The following is a 21,471-nucleotide window of genomic DNA, read 5'->3' on the forward strand; positions in this document are numbered from 1 at the left end:
CTCAACCTCCAGGACCCTCTTGGAGACTTCCAAGACCTAGGATGGCTGGGCATTCAGTGCTTTGGGAGCTGCCATCCTTCACCTGCTAGGGTTCTGTGTGGGATCGGGGTGGGGGTCTCTGTTACTCAGGAAACTGCCCTCCCTTCCTCCCAATTAGATTTGCACTTTATTACTTTTTTTCTTTAGCTTTTTTCGAGATGGACTTATACTTAAAAAAACCTGCTCTTAGATAATGGGTGGCAGGGGGGTAGAGGGGATTTGAGAAGACCTGGAAAATTCCCAGGTCTCCACTAAATAAGAAAACTGGAGAGTAAGGGGACTGGAGAGGAACGGAGAAAGAAATGTATTTTCTTTTCTTCTTGTAATCAGAACTGTAGCTTGCAATATTTTTTTCCCAAGCTTCTAAGAGAGTTTTGCAAACAATTGGAGTAATTAAAAGTTCTCAGAAGTAGCCGATGGTGCCCTTTTCACCGAGGGAATGTGGGCCAAGCATGATATATTAAAAGAGAGGGAGCTGCTCTATTGAAGTTAAAAATAATCTGTCACATGGCTAATTTGTTGGAATGCAGCAATAAAGGGCTGTGGGCAGAGGGAGAGCTGGAAGCAGCTGGGAAGTTTGCAGGCAGAGTGCACGCCCTGGGGACTGTGTTTGTAGGGAGAGAAAACAGTGTTACAGCTGCCTTAGGGCACCTTATCAGAAAACCCACAAAATGGGCAGGAAGAAGGAAGAGTAGGTTTGAGTCCAGAGCATGACCTTTGGGCTTATCAGACAGTGAAGGGATGGGTCAGAACTTGTCACCTGTGTTCACGGGATGCTGATTCACTCAGCAAGGATGAAGTCTTTTCAGATCCCCCTGCATTTGAATCCGTTTCAAAGGAATACATAATTCAAAGGAAGCTTTTGATCCGAAATCCATGGGAAAACCAATCTATAGGGTCTTGAGCGAAAAAAGTTCAAGCCAGGAATACAAATCCTAGTTTGGGGGATTGGGGATATTATAATTTTTGAAATGTTAGAGTTGAAAGAGAGAAAACAAATTATTTAGTATAATCCCTGAATTTTCCCTTCCTTCCTTCCTTCCTTCTTTCTTTCTGTCTTCTTCTTTTTTTTTTTTTTTTTTGAGACAGAGTCTTGCTCTGTTGCCTGGGCTGGAGTGCAGTGGCTCGATCTTGGCTCACTGCAACCTCTGCCTCCCGGGTTCAAGTGATTCTCCTGCCTCAGCCTCCTGAGTAGCTGGGACTACAGGCATGCACCACTGCGCCCACCTAATTTTTGTATTTTTAGTAGAGATGGGGTTTCACCATGTTGGTTAGCCAGGATGGTCTCGATCTCTTGACCCTGTGATCTGCCTGCCTCGGCCTCCCAAGTGCTGGGATTACAGGTGTGAGCCACCACGCCCGGCCTACTCCCTGAATTTTCTACATGAGGCAACAGGCTCAAAGAGGTTGATTTGCTCAAGGTCACTCAACCAGCAAGTAACAGAGCTAGATTCAAACCCAGGTCTTTAGCTAGAAAGGAAGGGCATAGTGGTTAGCAAATATAGGGTTCAGAATGCCCTGATGTCAAATCCTGGCTCTACCAGCAGGACCCTTGGGCAAGTTTCTAACTCCTCTCAGTGTTAGTTTCATCATCTGTAAGATGGGAATAACAATAGTACCCACTAGAATTGCTACAATGTATGTAAAGTGCTAAGTATGACATCCAGCCTAGAGGAAAGGCTTAATCAAACACTAGATGTTATCATGCCACAGCTTTTTCATCACCCTGCATCAAATTTCTAGAGCTTTCCGCAGATTAACTTGTCCAAACATCCTCTTTGGTTTGGGTGGGATTCTCTTTCTCCCTTTCCCACCTCCAACTCTCACCCATTATATATAAAGAAAAAGAGGGTGGCCGAACTTTAACCTCTCTATCCTCTGGTAGACACTTTCGCTAGCATTTCCTACATTGTAACACACCCATGAGACTTGTTTTCTCTTAAGCTACATGCCCTCCGGCCTGTATTTTCAGTATGGTTTCCAAGTTGCTGACAGGCAGAAACGGTGCCAACATGAAGAAGCAAGTATTGCTGCCCCAAATGCAGCAGCAAGATGTGTTTGAATGTTTTAGAATAGATGATCATTTTTCAAATTCATAATGGGCACCGCTCACAGAGGGGGCTCTTAACATACAAGGCAGGTCTGGGCTCATAGTTAGCACTTCTGGAAAGTGGAGGCCGAGTTCTGTGTGTGCACATACCAAAGAACAGGAGCCTACCTCCAGCAGCTTGGGCAAAAGCAAAGGTGAATTTAGTGGCTCAAGTAACCAGAAGACCAGATTTCATTGATGACTAGATTCAAGTGTTCACTAATTAGACACATTTCTGCTTTGTTGGGCTCCATTCTTCAGACTGATTCTTTCTACTTGGCAGAAAAAAAAACATCTACAGAGAGTCTAACCTTTACTTTTTCTCCAGGTTAGTTTTTTTTTTTTTTTTTGAGACAAAGTTTTTGCTCTTGTTGCCCAGGCTGGAGTGCAATGGTGTGATCTCGGCTCACGGCAACCTCCACCTCCCGGGTTCAAGTGATTCTCCTGTCTCAGCCTCCTGAGTAGCTGGGATTACAGGCATGCGCCACCACGCCCAGCTAATTTTATATTTTTAGTAGAGATGGGGTTTCTCCACTTTGGTCAGGCTGGTCTCGAACTCCCGAACTCAGGTGATCCACCTGCCTCGGCCTCCCAAAGTGCTGGGATTACAGGCTTGAGCCACTGTGCCCAGCCCTGTTTTTTTTTTTGTTTTTTTTTTTTTGAGATGAAGCCTCTCTTGATTGCCCAGGCTGGAGTGCAGTGGCATGATCTCTGCTCACTGTAACCTCCGCCTCCCGGGTACAACCAATTTTCCTGCCTCAGCCTCCCGAGTTAGGGCTACAGGTGTGTGCCACCACACCCGGCTAACTTTGTATTTTTAGTAGAGATGAGGTTTCACCATGTTGGCCAGGCTGGTCTCAAACTCCTGGTCTCGTGATCTGCCCGCCTGGGACTCCCAAAGTGCTGGGATTACAGGCATGAGCCACCCTGCCCAAACTGGTCAGTATTCTTAAGGAAAGTATGTCACGCCTCCCTGAGTTGTCTTTCCCTGATTGGCTGCTTTAAATCACATGCCTATTCCTGAAACAATAGGGCTAGGAGAACAGGCTTCTCTGATTGGACAGAGTGGATCACATGCCCAACCCTTGTCACCAAGGGAAGGCGGAGCATACTGATTGGCAGCACCACTACTTCACACAGAATGGAAGAGGAACAGTTCCTAAAAGAAAAATTGGAGCTACAGAAACCAGAAGACAGGGAAAGGGATACAAAAGTCCATGACAAGACCTACGTGCATTTTCCTTGGATGGTGGTTCATAGCTTGCTTCACATCCTCAAAGTTATTGTATAATCCAAGAAATAGTAAGACTTTTGGGGCCAGGCACGGTGGCTCATGCCTGTAATCCCAGCACTTTGGGAGGCCGAGGCGGGTGGATCATTTGAGGTCAGGAGTTCGCGACCAGCCTGGCCAACATGGTGAAACCCTGGCTCTTCTAAAAATACAAAAATTAGCCGAGCATGGTGGCGGGCGCCTGTGATCCCAGCTACTCGGAAGGTTGAGGCAGGAGAATTGCTTGAACATGGGAGGCGGAGGTTACAGTAAGCTGAGACTGCACCACTGCACTGCACTCCAGCCTGGGTGACAAAGCAAGGCTGTTTTCTTAAAAAAAAAAAAAAAAAAAAAAAAAGAATTTTTGGAGAAGAAAATGCTTCCTCCTACTCCAGATATTTCCTTTGGTGTGAAGGGCCATCAACTACTATAACGCTCCAGCCTCCTCTTCAGCCCTTACTCCTGCACATAGGGAAAGGAGAGCATTAGCATATTCCCAGCCCCAGGAGAAACTGGGCATGAGTTGCCGTGTCTTCCTCTTCCTGGTATCTGAGGATCAAGAAGGGAGCACAAATTCTCTCCCTCCACATGGGAGGGTGCTCCGGTCCACCGCTGCTTGTGACTGATGGGACAGTCTGTCTTATTAGGATACAAGGACACACTCAGCCACATTCTACAGCCTATAGCCTTCATCAGAAGATAATCCATCTTCTGACTTTTTTCCCCCCTCAATTGATTTAGAGCCTGAGTAGGGAGGAAGTGTGTTATTTATTTATTTATTTATTTATTTATTTATTTATTTATATATTTTTTGAGACAGCATCTGAGTCTGTCACCCAGGCTGGAGTAAAGTGGAGCCATCTCGGCTCACTGTAACCTCCACCTCCCGGGTTCAAGCAATCCTCCTGCTTCAGCCTCCCAAGTAGCTGGGACTACAGGTGTGCGCTACCATGCCTGGCTAATTTTTGTATTTTTAGTAGAGATGGGGTTTTGCCATGTTGGCCAGGCTGAGTCTGCTATTTATTGAATCCCTTCTCAAAAGTTATCAAGAACCACCAACTTAGAGCATCAAGGACCCATAGATTCATCCTCTCACCTGTCCCCTTCCTTGCTGTATTCCCAGCCCCAGGAGAAGAAGCTGTTCTCCTTGGGAATCCATAGAGATAGTGGAGTGATAGAAGTAGCTTTGGAGGGAAATTACAAGAAAGGCAGAAAAGTTAGATTTACTTACAACAGCAGGTGAGAGGAAATGGATTATATCACATGGAGCGGGGCGGGGAACAATGGAGCAGTGATTTAATAATGGACTTCACCAGAACCACGTGCAGGGTGTGGCATCCCTGGTATTTTTCCACAGCCTCACCCTGACCGGGACCACAGTCACATCTGTCCTCCACCTCGCCCAACCCACTTGTATCCTTTTACGCCCACTTCTTGGAAAATAGATTGTTCCACTTTCACAGAGAGGAGCAGGAATTTGGTGCATACACACCAGCTTAAATAACATAGTATTTTATTATTATTAGTTTTTAATTACAAAAGTAGTATACAATCTTTGAAATAACTAAACAAAGATATAGAGAAGCATGGAAAAGTATAAAGATGAAAGCTAGTCAGCTCAAAGCCATCAACTCGAGATAGCTATTGTTAACCTTTTAGTTTATTAAGTGTTCAGCCTTTTTTCTATACATATTTTAAAATTTCTTCATATTCCTTTAAAAATTTTATAAAAGCAGTTCAAATAATATAGAAGTGCATGATGTAGAAGATAAAAATGGTTTATTCTGCTATTTATCCTACTATTATGATGTAGTTGTATTATTACATGGAATTTTTGTTGTCGTCACTGCGTCCTTTTCTCTTTCCTGGTCTCAGGAATGGTTGAAATACTGGCACACACGGCTGGGCGAGGCGGCGTATACCTGTAATCCCAGCACTTTGGGAGGCGGAGGTGGGAGGTGCTTGAGCTCAGGAGTTCAAGACTAGCCTCAGCAGCACAGTGAAACCCCATCACTACAAAAAATACAAAAAATTAGCCAGGTGTGCGGGTGCGCGTCTGTAGTCCCAGCTATTTGGGAGCCTGAGGTAGGAGAATGGCTTCAGCCTGGGAGGTGGAGGTTGCCGTGAGTCGAGATCATGCCACTGCACTCCCACTCCAGCCTGGGAGACAGAGCCAGACCCTCTGTCAAAAAAAAAAAAAGAAAGAAAGAAAAGAAAGAAAGAAAGAAAGAAAGGGCACTCATGTGAGAAGAAGGTACTCGTATTATGACATCCGTTGTAGAGTTGAGGAACTGAGGCTCCCAGACTCACCCACAGCAACACCCCACTCTTGGTTGGGTGGCCAGGATCCCTGGGGACAGGAAAAATTTCCTTACTTAATAGGCAGCTTGGTTAAGAAAAGGTGGTAAGAGGCTGGACACAGTGGCTCATGCCTGTAATCCCAGCACTTTGGGAGGCCGAGGCGGGTGGATCACGAGGTCAGGAGATCGAGACCATCCTGGCCAACATGGTGATACCCCGTCTCTACTAAAAATACAAAAATTAGCTGGGCATGGTGGCGCGTGCCTGTAATCCCAGCTACACAGGAGACTGAGGCAGGATAATCACTTGAACCAGGGAGCTGAAGGTTGCAGTGAGCCGAGATCATGCCACTGCACTCCTCCAGCCTGGCGACAGAGCAAGACTCCATCTCAAAAAAAAAAAAAAAAAAAAAGAAAAAAAGAAAGAAAAGGTGGTAAGAGAAGTGGCTTCCATAAGCCAGGGCTCTTGGCCTTTCTTTCTCTACCAGAAATACCCATCACATTTACCCGTACTCACACTGGCCTCTCCAGTTCCAAGAATTTGATTCTGGGAACGTATAGCTGCAAGTGAACAAAGAGTCAAGGGAAAGTTCTTTATCAACAGAAGAATTATTTTATTCAATGTGTTTCCTTACAGAACTTGGGACAATATGGGGAAAGAATGAGAAGAAATAAAAGGCCAGTTACTTAGGCCACTTTTAATGAATCACCCCTCAATGTCATTACCCATCCTTAGTCAGGAAAAGCTTGAGTTTTTCCATGCCAAGAAAAACAGAGGGCAGGAAGAAACAAATTACAACCTTGTTTGTGTTTTGTGTCTCAACTGTTTGATTTATAGGACTTGATCCAGTGATTATGGATGAAAGAAAATATCCCAGTGTCCCAAACCTAACCTGAACTTAACCGGGGGTGGGTGTCACGTCCACTGCTCAAGTTAGCACAAAGTTAAAATGCTTTAAGAAGAAAGCATCGAGGTTTGGAGCTGCCTGTAGGCATTCTCAACCCAGCGGCAAGGCCAAATTCCTTTCCCACACTCCGATTTCAAAAAAACTCTGTTTAGAAACTTTACCCCTTTTTCCTTATCCCAGAAGCTGAGCATTTATCTATTTAGCAGATAGTTACCAAGCACCTACTGTGTGCAATGCATGACGTTGGACAGAGGACACAAAGAGCATACAGATCAATCAACACACAAATCAGAAAATGTCATGTAGGCTGGGCACAGTGGCTTATATAATCCCAGCATTTTGGGAGGTCCAAGTGGGAGGATCACTTTAGGTCAGGAGTTTGAGACCAGCCTGGCCAACATGATGAAACCCTGTCTCTACAAAAAATACAGAAATTAGCTGGGTGTGGTGGTGGGCACCTGTAATCCCAGATGCTTGGGAGGCTGAGGCAGGAGAATCGCTTGAACCCGGGAGGCAGAGCTTGCAGTGAACTGAGATTGCGCCACTGCACTCTAGCCTGGGCAACAGAGTGAGACTCCATCTCGAAAAAAAAAAAAAGAAAAGAAAAAAATAAAGTGTCATGTAGCCATGAGCAAATGGAGAGAAAAGAAGACAGAATGATGTGTTAGAGAGACACTGGGTAACCACTTAGGAGGAAGTGGCAAGCCTTGATCTTAGGAAGACGGTGACATTTAAACTGACATCAGAATAAGATCTGTATGTGAAGCAGGGGTTGGGGAGACCATTCCTGCAGAGGGAAAATCCTCCAAGACAGGCTTGTGCTTGACATATAGAAATTAAGCCATCCTGAGGCCGGGCGTGGTGGCTCATGCCTGTCATCACAGCACTTTGGGAGGCCGAGGTGAGTGGATCACCTGAGGTCAGGAATTTGAGACCAGCCTGACCAACATGGTGAAACCCAGGCATGGTGGTGCATGCCTGTAATCCCAGCTACTCAGGAGGCTGAGGCAGGAGAATCGCTTGAACTGGGAGGCGGAGGTTGCGGTGAACTGAGATCGTGCCATTGCACGCCAGCCTGGGCAACAAGAGCAAAACTCCATCTCAAAAAAAAGGAAAAAGAAAAGAAAATAAATTAAGCCACCCTGGGGATGCATATGCTGGCTAGTGACAGCCGCTGATGTCAGGCTCTGTGTAAGGGGGCAGGTGTCCTCACTTTCTGAAGGAGCTGTGCCCACCTTGGCCAGAGCCCCGTGGGGCTCCACCGCACTCAAGGGATGGGGGGCTGTCGCTGAGGCCCCAGCGTGGCTCACCATCCCAACACCCCTTGATAGCTGCTCGAATACTGCATTTTTATCTACCACCCAGGCCTTCTCTCTTAAATTGGTGTCATGGAAGTTTGAAAGAAATGGAAGAAAAGGAGCGACATGACTGATTCTGTTTGGTCTTCCTACCTTGAGGTCTGGTTGGCATTTTCTGAGAGGAAAATAAAAAATTGTGTTTTTTTTGGAGGAGGGTGAGAGGAGAGAGTGAGAAAAAGGAAACAAGGCTTCACATTTTCTATGATTTTCTAAAACTCTGCACGTTGACAGTGGTGGCAAAATAAACGAATCCCAAAGTTGTTTTTCTATTGAGAAGAAAGTGGTGGTGGATTTCATTCCCTTTTGTTTCCGAACTTTTCTCCCAGTGACAAAGTATAAAACATGGACACTAGAGAATAAGGTGAACCTCAGAAATCCTGAAAAGACCGCGAAGCTTACTTTCTTCCTCAGGAGGGAAGAGGGGAAAGTTTCTAGCCCTCCCTGGAACCTAAAATGAAAAACACGAGTTGCGTGCGTTGGAAAGAAGACAAGGCCATATCTGAATCATCAGCCTTACAATAATGTGAACGTCATTATGGCAGCATTTCAAACAAAAGGCTATGAAGCTGTTGCGCAGGGCTGCAGGTGCCATTGTGCTCACTAATGGTATGTGCTCCATGCGTGTGGGCTTCAGCGGTCTGGAAGCACTGAAGAGGATCTGTGCTCCAGAGCGGGGTGGGGCCTGCTACAACCTTGACTCCAAACACAAGATGCCCGAGTGGACTGGAGGCGGGAGTGAGCTCCAGAAATTAATTTCTTTTTCTTTCCCTTTTTTTTTTTTTTTTTTTTTTTAAAGACAGAGTCTTGCTGTGTTGCTCAGGCTGGAGTGCAGAGGCATGAACACAGCTCACTGCAGCCTCAACCTCCTGGGTTGAAGTGATCTCAAGCAATCCTCCTGCCTCAGCCTCCTGAGTAGCTGGGACCACAGGCAACTGCCACCACGCCTAGCTAATTTTTGAATTTTTTTTTTGGTAGTGACGGGGGTCTCATCGTGTTGCCCAGGCTGGTCTTGAACTCCTGGCCTCAAGTGATCCTCCTGCCCCAGCCTCCCAAAGTGCTGGGATTACAGGAGTGAGCCACCACACCAGCCAGGAAATTTCTAAAACATTATTTGCAGGGAAAGGATGGTGCCTTCCTGCTGGTGGTACCAGAAGAGGCGTAGGCTCACCAGAGTTGGGCCATTGGTGTGTAACACATTTCCCCCCAACCTCTCCCTCGCCTTGGCCCTTTCAGTCCTCTGTGATATGCTGGGCCCTCTACAGTGAGTGGTCTGCCCGTGCCACTTCCCCAAACAACTCATCACAACTCATGAGGTTTTTCCCCTTTGGATCTGACCGTGCAGAAGGTTAAATGTGTAGACTGTTAACAGCCAGGCACAGTGGCTCATGTCTGTAATCCCAGAACTTTGGGAGGCCAAGGTTACAAAAACCACTCAGTGTTTTGCTCCTGGGAAAGGAAGGTAGGCGCTCTGTGCACTCAAGGCCAGTGTTCACAAAACCTTGCTTTGTTTTTTGTTTTTTTTGTTTTGAGACAAGGTCTTGCTCTGTTGCCCAGGCTGGAGTGCAGTGTCATGAACATGGCTTACTGCAGCCTCAACCTCTTGGGCTCAAGCAATCCTTCTGCCACAGCTCCCCAAAGAGCTGGGACCACTGGCGTGTGCCACCACACTCAGCTAACTTAAAAAATGTTTGAAGAGATGGGATCTCTCTATGTTGCCCAGACTGGTCTCGAGCTCCTGAGCTCAGGTGATCTTCCTGCCTTGGCCTCCCAAACTGCTGGGATTACAGGCATGAGCCACTATGCCCAGCTCCTTGTTTTATTTAAAGGAAGAGGAGAAAGAACTAAAGGGGAGGTCCTAGCTTATTTTCCCTTTTCTATGAGGACCTGATGCAGATTCTGCTTGACATAGTACATACAAAGCCCATGTGACTGGCTTGAAGGATCCATTGCCTTAAGGGGCTCTCAGGAAATGATCTCTAAAAGCCTGGTGGCGGTATAACATACTGCCTCTAACTTTTTTTTTTTTTTTTTTTTTTTGAGATGGAGTTTCGCTCTTGTTGCCCAGGCTGGAGTGCAGTGGCGCGATCTTGGCTCACCGCGACCTCCGCCTCCCGGGTTCAAGCGATTCTCCCTCCTCAGCCTCCTGAGTAGCTGGGATTATAGGGATGCGCCACCACACTGGGCTAATTTTGTATTTTTAGTAGAGATGGGGTTTCACCATGTTGGTCAGGCTGGTCTCGAATTCCCAATCTCAGGTGATCTGCCCACCTTAGCCTCCCAAAGTGCTGGGATTACAGGCGTGGGCCACCGCACCTGGCCTGCCTCCAACTTTTACCACCACCCCTTACCCCTAGTTTTAAGGGTAATTATGGCCAGCTGTGGAGTTTTATTTATTTATTTATTTATTTATTTCTGAGGCGGAGTCTCACTCTGTCGCCCAGGCTGGAGTGCAGTGGCATTATCTCAGCTCACTGCAACCTCTGCCTCCCGGGTTCAAGCGATTCTCCTGTCACAGCCTCCCAAGTAGCTGGGATTACAGGCGTATGCCAACACACCCAGCTAACTTTTGTATTTTTAGTAGAGATGGGGTTTCACCCTATTGGCCAGGCTGGTCTCGAACTCCTGACCTTGTGATCCACCCGCCTCGGCCTCTCAAAGTGTTGGGATTACAGATGTAAGCGACCACACCCAGCCTAATTTTTTGTATTTAGTAGAGACGGGGTTTTGCCATGTTGGTCAGGCTGGTCTCGAACTCCTGACCTCAGGTGATCCACCTGCCTCAGCCTCCCAAAGTGCTGGGATTACAGGCGTAAGCCACCTAGCCCGGCCAAAAAAGGATATCTTAATAAAGCTGATTTAAAAAGTACAGTAAATGACCAGGTGTGGTGGCTCATGCCTGTAATCCCAGCACTTTGGGAGGCTGAGGCAGGAGGATCACCTGAGGTCAGGAGTTAGAGACCAGCCTGGCCAACATGGTGAAACCCCATCTCTGCTAAAAATACAAAAGTTAGCCAGGCATGGTGGCGTGTGCCTGTAGTTCCAGCTACTCGGGAGGCTGAGGCAGGATAAAGATCCGCTTGAGCCTGGGAGGCAGAGGTTGCAGTGAGCTGAGACTGAGCCATTGCACTCTAGCCTGGGTGACAGTGTGAGACTCTGTCTCAAAAAAAAAAAAAAACAAAAACGAAAACCAGTAAAAGTTAATTTAATCACCATGGAGGATTCTGTGCCTTGCTCTTCATCCTCAACAGACTAGAAAAAAGGCAATTGGCCAAAGGCAATTGGTGCATTTGGAGGGCAAAACCAACCTACAGGAACCTTTGTGTTTATAGAAAGATTATGACTTATCGAAGTGGCCTTTGCCCAGCAGACTGTAGTAAAGACAGTGACAGTCATGTAATCTATGTGTTAGATTATCTTTAACAAAAAGAATCTGGCCAGGCGCTGTGGCTCATGCCTGTAATCCCAGCACTTTGGAAGGCCGAGGCAGGAGGATTGCTTGAGCCTAGAAGTTTGAGACCAGCCTGGGCAACATAGGGAGAACATGTCTCTTCTAAAAATAAAATAAATTAGCCGGGCATGGTGGCACATGCCTGTAGACCCAGCTACTTGGGAGGCTGAGGCAGAAGAATAACTTGAACCCAGGAGTTCGAGGTTGCAGTGAGCTATGACCATGCCACTGCACTCCAGGGCAAGAGAGTGAGACCCTATCTCAAAAAAACAAAAAGAGCTGGGTGCAGTGGCTCATGCCTGTAATCCCAGCACTTTGGGAGGCTGAGGCGGGCGGATCATGAGGTCAAGAGATCGAGACCATCCTGGCCAACATGGTGAAATTCTGTCTCTACTAAAAATACAAAAATTAGCTGGGCATGGTGGGGCATGCCTGTAGTCCCAGCGACTCAGGAGGCTAAGGCTGGAGAATCGCTTGAACCCAGGAGGCAGAGGTTGCAGTGAGCTGAGATCTTGGCATTGCACTCCAGCCTGGGCAACACAGCAAGAACCCATTTAAAAGAAAGAAAAAAAAAAAAGAATAAAAAAAGTAAAAAGAATCCCTTATATTGTAAAGAGCTTCACAATTTTAAAGTCTTTTTACATCCATTTACTCATTGGCTCTGCACCTGACAGGGGTTGCAGCCTTTCAATATTTTTAAATCACTCTCCCTCCTCCCCTTCATGACTTTTCTGCAACACTGAATCCAGACTTCTAACACTATATCTAGGTTTCGTTTGTGATTTTAACAGCTTTATTGAGATATAACTCACATACCATACAATTTACCATTTATCTTGTAAAACTGAATTTTTTTTAGTATAGTCACAGGGTTGTGCAATCATTATTACAATCTAATTTTATTTTATTATTTTTGATACATAATAATTATGCAAATTTATGAGATTCAATTTAATTTTAGAACATATTTATCTTTCCCAAAAGAAAACTCTTACCCATTAGCAGTCACTCCCCATTTCCCCCCAACTCTTTCAGTCCTAGGCAACCACTAAATCTACTTTCTTTTTCTGGAGATGTGCCCCTTTTAGAAATTTCCTATAAATAAAATCATATAGAATGTGATCTTTTGTGACTGGCTTCTTTCACTTAGCATGATGTTTTCACCATGTTTTAGCATGCTATTTTTGTTGCTGAATACTATTCCATTTTAAGGATACAACCATATTTTATTTATCCATGCATTAATTGATGGACATTTAGATTGTTTCCACTTTTTGGCTATTACAAATAATGCTACTATGAATATTTGTGGGCCAGTTTTTTTCTTTCTTTTTGAGTTGGAGTTTTGCTCTGTCACCCAGGCTGGCCAACATGGTGAGGTCAGGAGTTTGAGACCATCCTGGCCAACATGGTGAAATGCCATCTCTACTAAAAATACGAAAATTAGGTGGGTGTGGTGGAGTGTGCCTATAATCCCAGCTACTTGGAGGCTGGGGCGGGAGAATTGTTTGAACCTGGGGGGCCAAGGTTGCAGTGAGCTGAGATTGCGCCACTGCACTCAGCCTTAGCGACAGAGACTCTGTCTCAAAAAAATATATATAATAATAAATTAAAATAATAAAAGAATAAAATGATATTGAGCCTGTAATCCCAGCACTTTGGGAGGCCAAGGCAGGCAGGTCACTTGAGGCAAGGAGTTAGAGATCAGCCTGGCCAACATGGTGAAATCCCGTCTCTACTAAAATTACAAAAATTAGCCGGGCATGGTGGCCTGTGTCTGTAATCCCTGCTACTTGGGAGGCTGAGGCAGGAGAATCACTTGAACCTGGGAGGTGGAGGTTGCAGTGAGCCAAGATCGTGCCACTGCACTCCAACCTGGGTGACAGGGCGAGACTCTGTCTCGGTAAATAAATAAATAAATAAATAAAGATATTGAATGAACTTGAAGAAAAATTTTAAGCGAATAAAGCAACAAATAAAACAATTAAGTTTATCTATAATAAGCTATGCTTTGTATAAAAAGGGAAGGGCTGTGGAAGGGATAAATAAAAGTGAATTGTATTTATTACCTATTAAAAATAAGCTAGCAAACACTGGAAGGAAGAACAGCGACTGTTCTGAAGCCAGGAAAAGCAACCCAGGGTGGAAAGCATTCTTGCCAATGGCTGTTTTGCATCAGCCTATAGTTTCTTTCACTCCTAGAAGCTGGGCTGGGCTGGTGGGGGTTGGACCTCACTGGATAAGACTGACAGGATGGTCTTGGATGAAACTCCAGAAGAGGCCACCTAACGGGCCGGGAAGATCTGGCTGACTTGGGGGTGGGATCTACTCCAGAATGCTGACAACCAAACACCCCTGAGGCTGTCCCCTGGAGGATATAGGTTCCTAACTTTGCAAGGACTTCCTGAAGCTTCCCAAACACTGGATGACTCAAGCCTGGCCTTGGGAAGGGAAAGAGTGTTGGAGTGTGACAGCTTTAGAAGTTTGTCTTCCCTCTGGCAGGAGCAAAGAGTAGGTTGCCAGGGAACATAATATCTTGAGAAGGGCAAGAACAGATTGGAGGGCCACCTCATTGTATTTCATTCCTGGAAGAGGAAAAGGGAACATTCCTTCCCGCTGCCGCCTCAAAAGGGTATGAGAACACAGGGCATGCCCGATGGCTGCAAAAACTGGGACAGCATCCTCGCTTCTTGCTCTGTTCTCAAGGAGCATGCACAGTGTTTGCCTTGACCATTTCCTGTTTATACAAAAGCAATAAAATGAGCTTGCAAGGTAAATAACAACCCTGGTGGAGCAGTGTCTCACACGCTAAGGTACTGTTATCTGAGGTAAATTACAGAATTCACACTGATTGTCATCCAGCCTGGGGAGAGAATTTTCTAACTTGTAAAAACAGCAATAGTAAAATGTTCATGTTAAACTTGTTTTATATGGTAAGTGCCATCTTCCTTGTAAATTTCCTCAAGAACTGGGTTTCATTTTTCAGCATCTAGAAATAATAACCCCCAAAATAGCTAGCATTTACTGGGGACTCTCTGTGATAGGCAGTGTGCTAAGAATTTTGTTTAATTCTCATGTCACCACAATGCTTTACTGTAGCTACCCAGTAAATATTTGTCAAAGAGCTTGAAAAAACTATCAAAGACCTTCAAGAACAGAAAATTACAGACCAATATTCTTCATGAATATAAATGCAAAGATCCTTTTAAAATATTAGCAAATTGAATTCAATAAACAAGATTAGCATCATAACCAAAGTGGGATTTATCTCAGGAATGCAAAGATTGTTAAGTTTTTTTTTTTTTTTTTTTTTTTTGAGATGAAGTCTTGCTCTGTCGCCCAGTCTGGAGCACAGTGGTGCAATCTCGGCTCACTGCAACCTCCGCCTCTCGGGTTCAAGCGATTCTCATGCCTCAGCCTCCCAAGTAGCTGGGACTACAGGTGCGTGCCACCATGCCTGGCTAATTTTTTGTATTTTTAGTAGAGACGGGGTTTCACCGTGTTAGTCAGGATGGTCTCAATCTCCTGACCTCATGATCTGCCCGCCTCGGCCTCCCAAAGTGCTGGGATTACAGGTATGAGCCACCACGCCCGGCCAGATGGTTAAGTTTTTGAAAACCATTCAGTGTAATTCACCATATTAACGGAATAAAGGAGGAAAATAATATGATCATTCTGATAGATGTATAAAACATATTCAACAGGCCAGGCACAGTGGCTTATGCCTGTAATCCTAGCACTTTGGGAGGCTGAGGTGGGTGTATCACATGAGCTCAGGAGTTTGAGACCAGCCTGGGCGACACGGCAAAACCCTGTCTCTACAAAAAATACAAAAATTAGCCGGGTGTGATGGTGGGAGCCTGTGGTCTCAGCTACTTGGGAGGTTGAGGTGGAAGGATTGCTTGCAAGCCCGGGAGGTTGAGACTGCAGTGAGCTGTGATCGTGCCACTGCACTTCAGCCTGGGCCACAGAGCAAAACCCTGTCTCAACAACAACAACAACAACCAAAAAAAAAAAAAAAAAAAAAGAAAAGAAAAGAAAAGAAAAAATATTCAACAGGATTCAACACCCTTTCTTAATAAAAACAAAATAAAAATAAAACAAACTCAGGAAACTAGATCCTCAAGATCCTCAAGCTGATAAAAGACATCTACTGAAAAATTATATTAAATTGTGAAAGACTGAATGCTTTCCTCCTAAGATTAGGAACAAGACAGGGATGCTAACTTCACCATTTCTATTCAACACTGTACTGAAAGTCCTAGCCAGTGCAACAAGGCAAGGAAAAAAGAGGCATACAGATTGGGAAGAAAGGTGGAAGCAAAGCTGTCTCTATTAGCAGACGACATATTTATTACATAGATAATTCTAAGAAATCCATAAAATAATTACAGGAACTATAAGTGAATTTGGCAAGGTATAAGATAGTAAGTCAATGTACAAAATCAATTATATTTATCTAGACTGGCAGCAAACAATTGGAAAATGAAATAATTTCATTTATAGGGGCATTAAAAAACGAAACATTTAGAAATAAATTTAATAAAAGATGCTAAAGATGTCTACATTGAAAACTACAAATTAAACTGAAGTAAATGGTTCATGAAATGTAAGGTTTTTAAGGTGTCTTTTTTCTGTAAATTCATCTATAAGCACTTTTGTAAAATTAAGAAGCTGATTTTTTTTTTTTTCTTCTAGAAACAGGGTCTCACTCTGCCACCCGGGCTGCAGTGCAGTGGCACAATCATAGCTCACTGTAGCCTCCAACTCCTGGGTTCAAGCAATCCTCCTGCCTCAGCCTCCCAGGCAGCTGAGACTATAGGTGCCCACCACCATGCCCAGCTAATTTTTACATTTTTTTAAAGAGATGAGGTCTTGCAGGCCAGGCACAGTGGCTCACGCTTGTAATCTCAGCATTTTGGAAGGCCGAGGTAGGCGGATCTCCTGAGGTCAGGAGTCCAAGACCAGCCTGGCCAACATGGTGAAACCCTGTCTCTACTAAAAATACAAAGAAATTAGCTGGGCATGGTCGTGGGCACCTGTAATCCCAGCTACTCAGGAGGCTGAGTCAGGAGAATTGCTTGAACCCGGGAGGCGGAGGTTGTACTGAGCCTAGATCATGCCACTGCACTCCAGCCTGGGTGACAGAGTGAGACTCGTCTCAAAAAAAAAGAGATGAGGTCTTGCTATGTTGTCGAGGTTGGTCTTGAACTCCTGAGCTCAAGCAATCCTTGTGCCTCAGCCTCCAAAGTGCTGGGATTACAGGAATGAGCCACAGTGCCCAGCAAAAAATAATAACTTTTTTTGTAATAATTTTAGATTTACAGAAAAGTTGCAAAAATAATACAATGAGTTTCTGTATACTCACTCAATTTTCCATAAAGATAGCATTTTACATTACCATAATATGTTTGTCAAAAGTAAGAAATCAACACTGGCACCTTACTGTTTTATTTGGATTTCACTAATTCTTCCCCAGTGCCCTTTTTCTGTTCTAGGATCCAGTCCAGGATACTATACTGCGTTTAATTGTCATGTCTCCTTAGTTTACTTGAGTCTGTGACAATTTCTCAATCTTTCCTTTTTTTTTTTTTTTTTTTATGAGCTTGTCAGTTTTGAGGAGTACTGGTCAGGCATTATGTAGAATGTCCCTCAGTTTGGGTTTACCTGATGTTTTTCCCATGCTTGGACTATGGTTATGGATTTTGTGGAAGAATGCCACAGTGGCAACATGCCCTTTTCATCACATCACACCGGGGGTACATGCTGTCAACATGATTTATTATGGAGATGTTTTAATTTGATCACTTGGTCAACAAGCTGATTTTAAATTGTGTGTGGGGCCGGGCATGGTGGCTCATGCCTGTAATCCCAGCACTTTGGGAGGCCGAGGTGGGCGGATCACCTGAGGTCCGGAGTTTGAGACCAGCCTGGCCAACATGGTGAAACCCCCTCTCTACTAAAAATATGAAAATTAGCCAAGTGTGGTGGTGGGGGCCTGTAATCCCAGCTACTCTGAACCCGGGAGGTGTAGGTTGCAGTGAGCTGAGATTGTGCCATTGCACTCCATCCAGTCTGGGTGATGAGAGTGAAAAAAAAAAATGTATGTGGAAATACAAAGGATCTAGAATAGCAAAAATAATTTTCAAAAGTTAAGAGCAAAGCTATAAGACTTATATTACCTGATTTAGTGCCTTACAATAATCAAGACTGTGGAATTGGCACAAGGATAAACAAATAAGTCATCGGAACAGAGTAGAAATTTCAGAAGGAGAACCACACTTATATGATCAATCAATTTTCGACAGATACAGGAAAACAATTCAAGGGGGAATTGTGTTTTCATCAAATGGTGCAGGAACAAGTGGGTATCCACATGGAAAAAAAGAGGCTAAGAAACCTGCCCAAGGTCACCAAGTTTGTGAGTGGCAGGGACAGGTATTCCAAGCCAGACTTTCTGGCTAACATGTGCTATCAATTGTAAATATAAATTTATAACCAAAACATTTAGGTCACAATAATTTTTCAGTGTAAAATTCAATTTGAGGCTATACTATTTAAAAATGTCAATGTCATGAAAGCAAAAGCAAAGTTAAGGAAATGTTCTAGATTAAAGGGGACTCAAGAGACTTAGCTAAGTGCAATACATGATCCTGAACTGGATCCTGGGTCATACAGGCACACTAAAATTTCACAAAGGACATGAATGCAATAATGGAAAATAATATGGAGAGTATGTTAGATAATAATTTTGTGTGAATGTTAAATTCTCTGAATTTGAAATTCATACTGCAGTTACGTGACAATATGTTCTTATTTTTAGAAGATACATGTAGAATTATTTGGCTGTAAAGGGTGGTGATATCTGAAATAGTTCAGCATTATTAACAACAATGATCAAAATAATATGGAAAAAATCAAATATTGAAAAATATTAACAGTTGGTAAACCTAAGCTAAAAGTATATGGTCATTCATTGTATTATTCTTGTAACTTACTTATTTGAAATTCTAAAAACATTTTCAAATATAATGTTACAGGTATATATCACTTAAGTGCTAGAATTTGTAATTTTTTTATTTTTTATTTTTATTTATTTATTTTTATTTTTTTGAAACAGGGTTTCGCTCTGTCATCCAGGCTGGAGCACAGTGGTGCGATCATACATCACTGCAGCCTCGACTTCCCAGGCTCAAGCCATCCCCAGATCTCAGCCTCTCAAATATCTGGGATTACAGTTGTGTGCCACCATGCGTAGATAATTTTTGTATTTTTTGAAGAGACAAGAGCCTCACTATGTTGCCCAGCCTGGTCTTGAACTCCTGGGCTCAAGTGATCTGTCCACCTCGGCCTCCCAAAGTGCTGGAATTACGGGGCTTGAGCCACCACATTCAGCCTGTAAATGTTTTTATTTCTTTCAGAGATTTTGTTTCTTATGTTATCTCTCTACTCCCAATGCCTATCATAAGACTTGTAACAGTAAATAGTAAATGTCTGGAATAAATGTAAATATTTGAATCTAGAGTTTGTGGAGGATCCTAAGAATCTTGTGAGATTGCTCTCATAGTGTCAGTCTAACTAGGGAGGTAAAATACGTAAAGTTAAAATTTACAGACGTAGCAGGCTTCCCAAAATAGTAATATGCTTTCTTAGGTACTACAAAGGGATGGAAGCACTGGAGCTCAAAACGGTAGGAGAAGTTTGAAAATAGAAGAAACTGAAGAGGAACTTGAAAAGCCGGTAGGCATTGAAAGGAAGAGGAGTCCTTGGGACAGCAATTGAGGGTAGAATGTGGAGTATCCCATGTTTCTACCACCATTCAGAATCCGATTTTCAAATGAATTCTGTGATGATCAGGATCAATCTGCACTATTTTAGTCTCTAAGTGATCTAAAATTAACTTGGTGGACCTGGGATGACCACGGATGTGGTTTTAAACCAGCAGGTTTCAGAGTCGGGGCGGGTGCAACAGGCTTATAAAGGGAATGGTGGAAAATATTATACGTTAGTGAAAGAGGTTGCGAATGGATTGTGGAGAGCCCTGAATGGTAGACTGCGAGAGTGACAGGATGAAAACGACGACATCATAGGAAGAGCAATCTGTCAGTTGTAATGGCAGTTAAAAAGTGGCGCACAACACTGTACCTTAACCAAACTTGGAATTCCAAAGTGCTGGGACCTCTAGCGGAGAGCAGTTGAGTTCAATTCTATTTTAGATCACGTAGAGACTAAAATAGTGCCGATTGATCCTGATCATCACAGAATTCGTTTGAAAATCGGATTCTGAATGATGGTAGAAACATAGGATACTCCACATTCTACCCCCAATTGCTGTCCGGGACAGCAATTGCCTTTCTAATCGACTGCCATGTTTAGCGATTACTATGCGCCAAGCGCTTTACAGGCACTCTCATTAAAATAGGCAAACCGGGCCAGGCGCGGTGGCTCACGCCTGTAATCCCAGCACTTTGGGAGGCCTACGCAGGCGGATCACCTGAGGTCAGGAGTTCGAGACCAGCCTGGCCAACATGGTGAAACCTACTCTCTACTAAAAATACAAAAATTAGCCGGGCGTGGTGGCGCATGCCTGTAGTTCCAGCTAGTCGAGAGGCTGAGGTAGGAGAATCGCTTGAACCTGGGAGGCGGAGTTTGCAGTAAGCCGAGATCGTGCCACTGCACTCTGGCCTAGGAGACAGAGCGAGAACTTGTCTCAAAAAAAAAAAAAAAAAAAAAAAAGGCAAACCCCTCTGTAAGAGAGTGCTTTATCAAGCCCATTTTACTGATGGGGAAATTGAGGAGAGACGGGATTGGCCAGATCACGACCTGGAGGCAGCAAAGATGTAAAATCAGGGTTGGGATACAGGCTGCGCCGGTAGTGTAGGGGATAGGAACTTTCTGAGACTCAGGAGAAAGCCACAGCGATGGGAAGGGAAGCAGAACACTGGAGACCCTAAAGGCCCACAGGCTGAGAGAAGTGGTACCTCTCCTGAAGTGACACCTGTCAGCACGCCTCTTTTGGGCGCCAGTCCAAAAATCGCGGTATCTGATTGGCGAGGTTGGAGGGGGCTGAACGACCCTAATTGGTTAGTTGGACCTCGAACCAGACTTTCATCTGGAGGATCGGGCGAGGAGTGGGCGGGATTTCGAACTGAGCCACTCCCTTCATTGGTGAAAAGAAAACGAACCAGGAACTATTCGGAAGTGTGATTGGCTGTTGCTAGGAACCGTCTCAAGGCCTTATGGGCCCTGGTTACGGAAGCCGAGGAAGGCTGAGCGCGGGCTCTCAAGGAAAGTAGTCGCGGAATCTCAGTTAGCGGTGGAGAGGCAGTATGTCCGGTTCAATGGCGACTGCGGAAGCTAGCGGCAGCGATGGGAAAGGGCAGGAAGTCGAGACCTCAGTCACCTATTACCGGTTGGAGGAGGTGGCAAAGCGCAACTCCTTGAAGGAACTGTGGCTTGTGATCCATGGGCGAGTCTACGATGTCACCCGCTTCCTCAACGAGGTGGGGCCTGGGAGGTGGGAGGCCTCTGAAGCTGCTGGGGCGAGGGGTGAAAAGGCTGTGTGGAGTGTATGTGGGAAGGAAGGGAGGCTTGGCTGGGGGCGATAAGGCGTAAGAAAGGGATCACGACCCTCAGAGGGAAACTGGGGTGGGATTGGGGGAGGGCTTTAGTTTGCATGCATTTCCAGTCAGCTCCGAGTTCTGGTGCCTTATGTAATATCATGTATTACTTATGTGTCGAGCATTTGCTGTGTGCTCAGCTAAACTCTAAGCCATCATTATCTTTATTTTACAGAAAGGGAAACTGAGGCTCACAGGTTGAGGACTCTCAGGGCCATAGAGTTAGCAGCTTAGATCCGTTGAACCTAGGTCTGAAGTGCACCCACATCTGTGCTTTTCCAGTGTGCCTTCTGAAGTAATACCGGTTTTGGTTTTCGTCTTCTAGAGTAGAAGCTGAGATTTCTCTCCACACGCTTCCCCATCTTGATTATGCCTCCACTGTTTTTTTTTCCCCCTAATCTGAGTTGACCTTGAGGCCAGAAACTCATAAATCAACCCT

The 21,471-nt window shown here is 44.7% G+C and overlaps 1 protein-coding gene across 1 annotated transcript in view, besides 2 other annotated features; it reads left to right on the forward strand.

Moving 5' to 3' along the window:
* Window positions 19,960-20,507: an enhancer, noted in NCBI's record as "H3K27ac-H3K4me1 hESC enhancer chr16:69457805-69458352 (GRCh37/hg19 assembly coordinates)". NCBI's record gives its function as "activates a minimal SCP1, AML or CMV promoter by ChIP-STARR-seq in primed H9 embryonic stem cells {active_cell/tissue: H9 hESC(primed)}" and the evidence as "EXISTENCE:reporter gene assay evidence [ECO:0000049][PMID:30033119]".
* Window positions 20,508-21,055: an enhancer, noted in NCBI's record as "H3K27ac hESC enhancer chr16:69458353-69458900 (GRCh37/hg19 assembly coordinates)". NCBI's record gives its function as "activates a minimal SCP1, AML or CMV promoter by ChIP-STARR-seq in primed H9 embryonic stem cells {active_cell/tissue: H9 hESC(primed)}" and the evidence as "EXISTENCE:reporter gene assay evidence [ECO:0000049][PMID:30033119]".
* The window catches only part of CYB5B (cytochrome b5 type B), a 41,646-nt gene continuing 40,851 nt past the window's right edge, over window positions 20,677-21,471 (forward strand). The window contains exon 1 of the mRNA NM_030579.3: window positions 20,677-20,915. Coding sequence (NP_085056.2) covers window positions 20,742-20,915 — 174 coding nt within the window. The 5' untranslated portion in view covers window positions 20,677-20,741. The remainder of the gene's footprint in view (window positions 20,916-21,471) is intronic.

Source organism: Homo sapiens, chromosome 16, assembly GCF_000001405.40.
Source record: "Homo sapiens chromosome 16, GRCh38.p14 Primary Assembly".
NCBI classification, from domain to species: domain Eukaryota; kingdom Metazoa; phylum Chordata; class Mammalia; order Primates; family Hominidae; genus Homo; species Homo sapiens.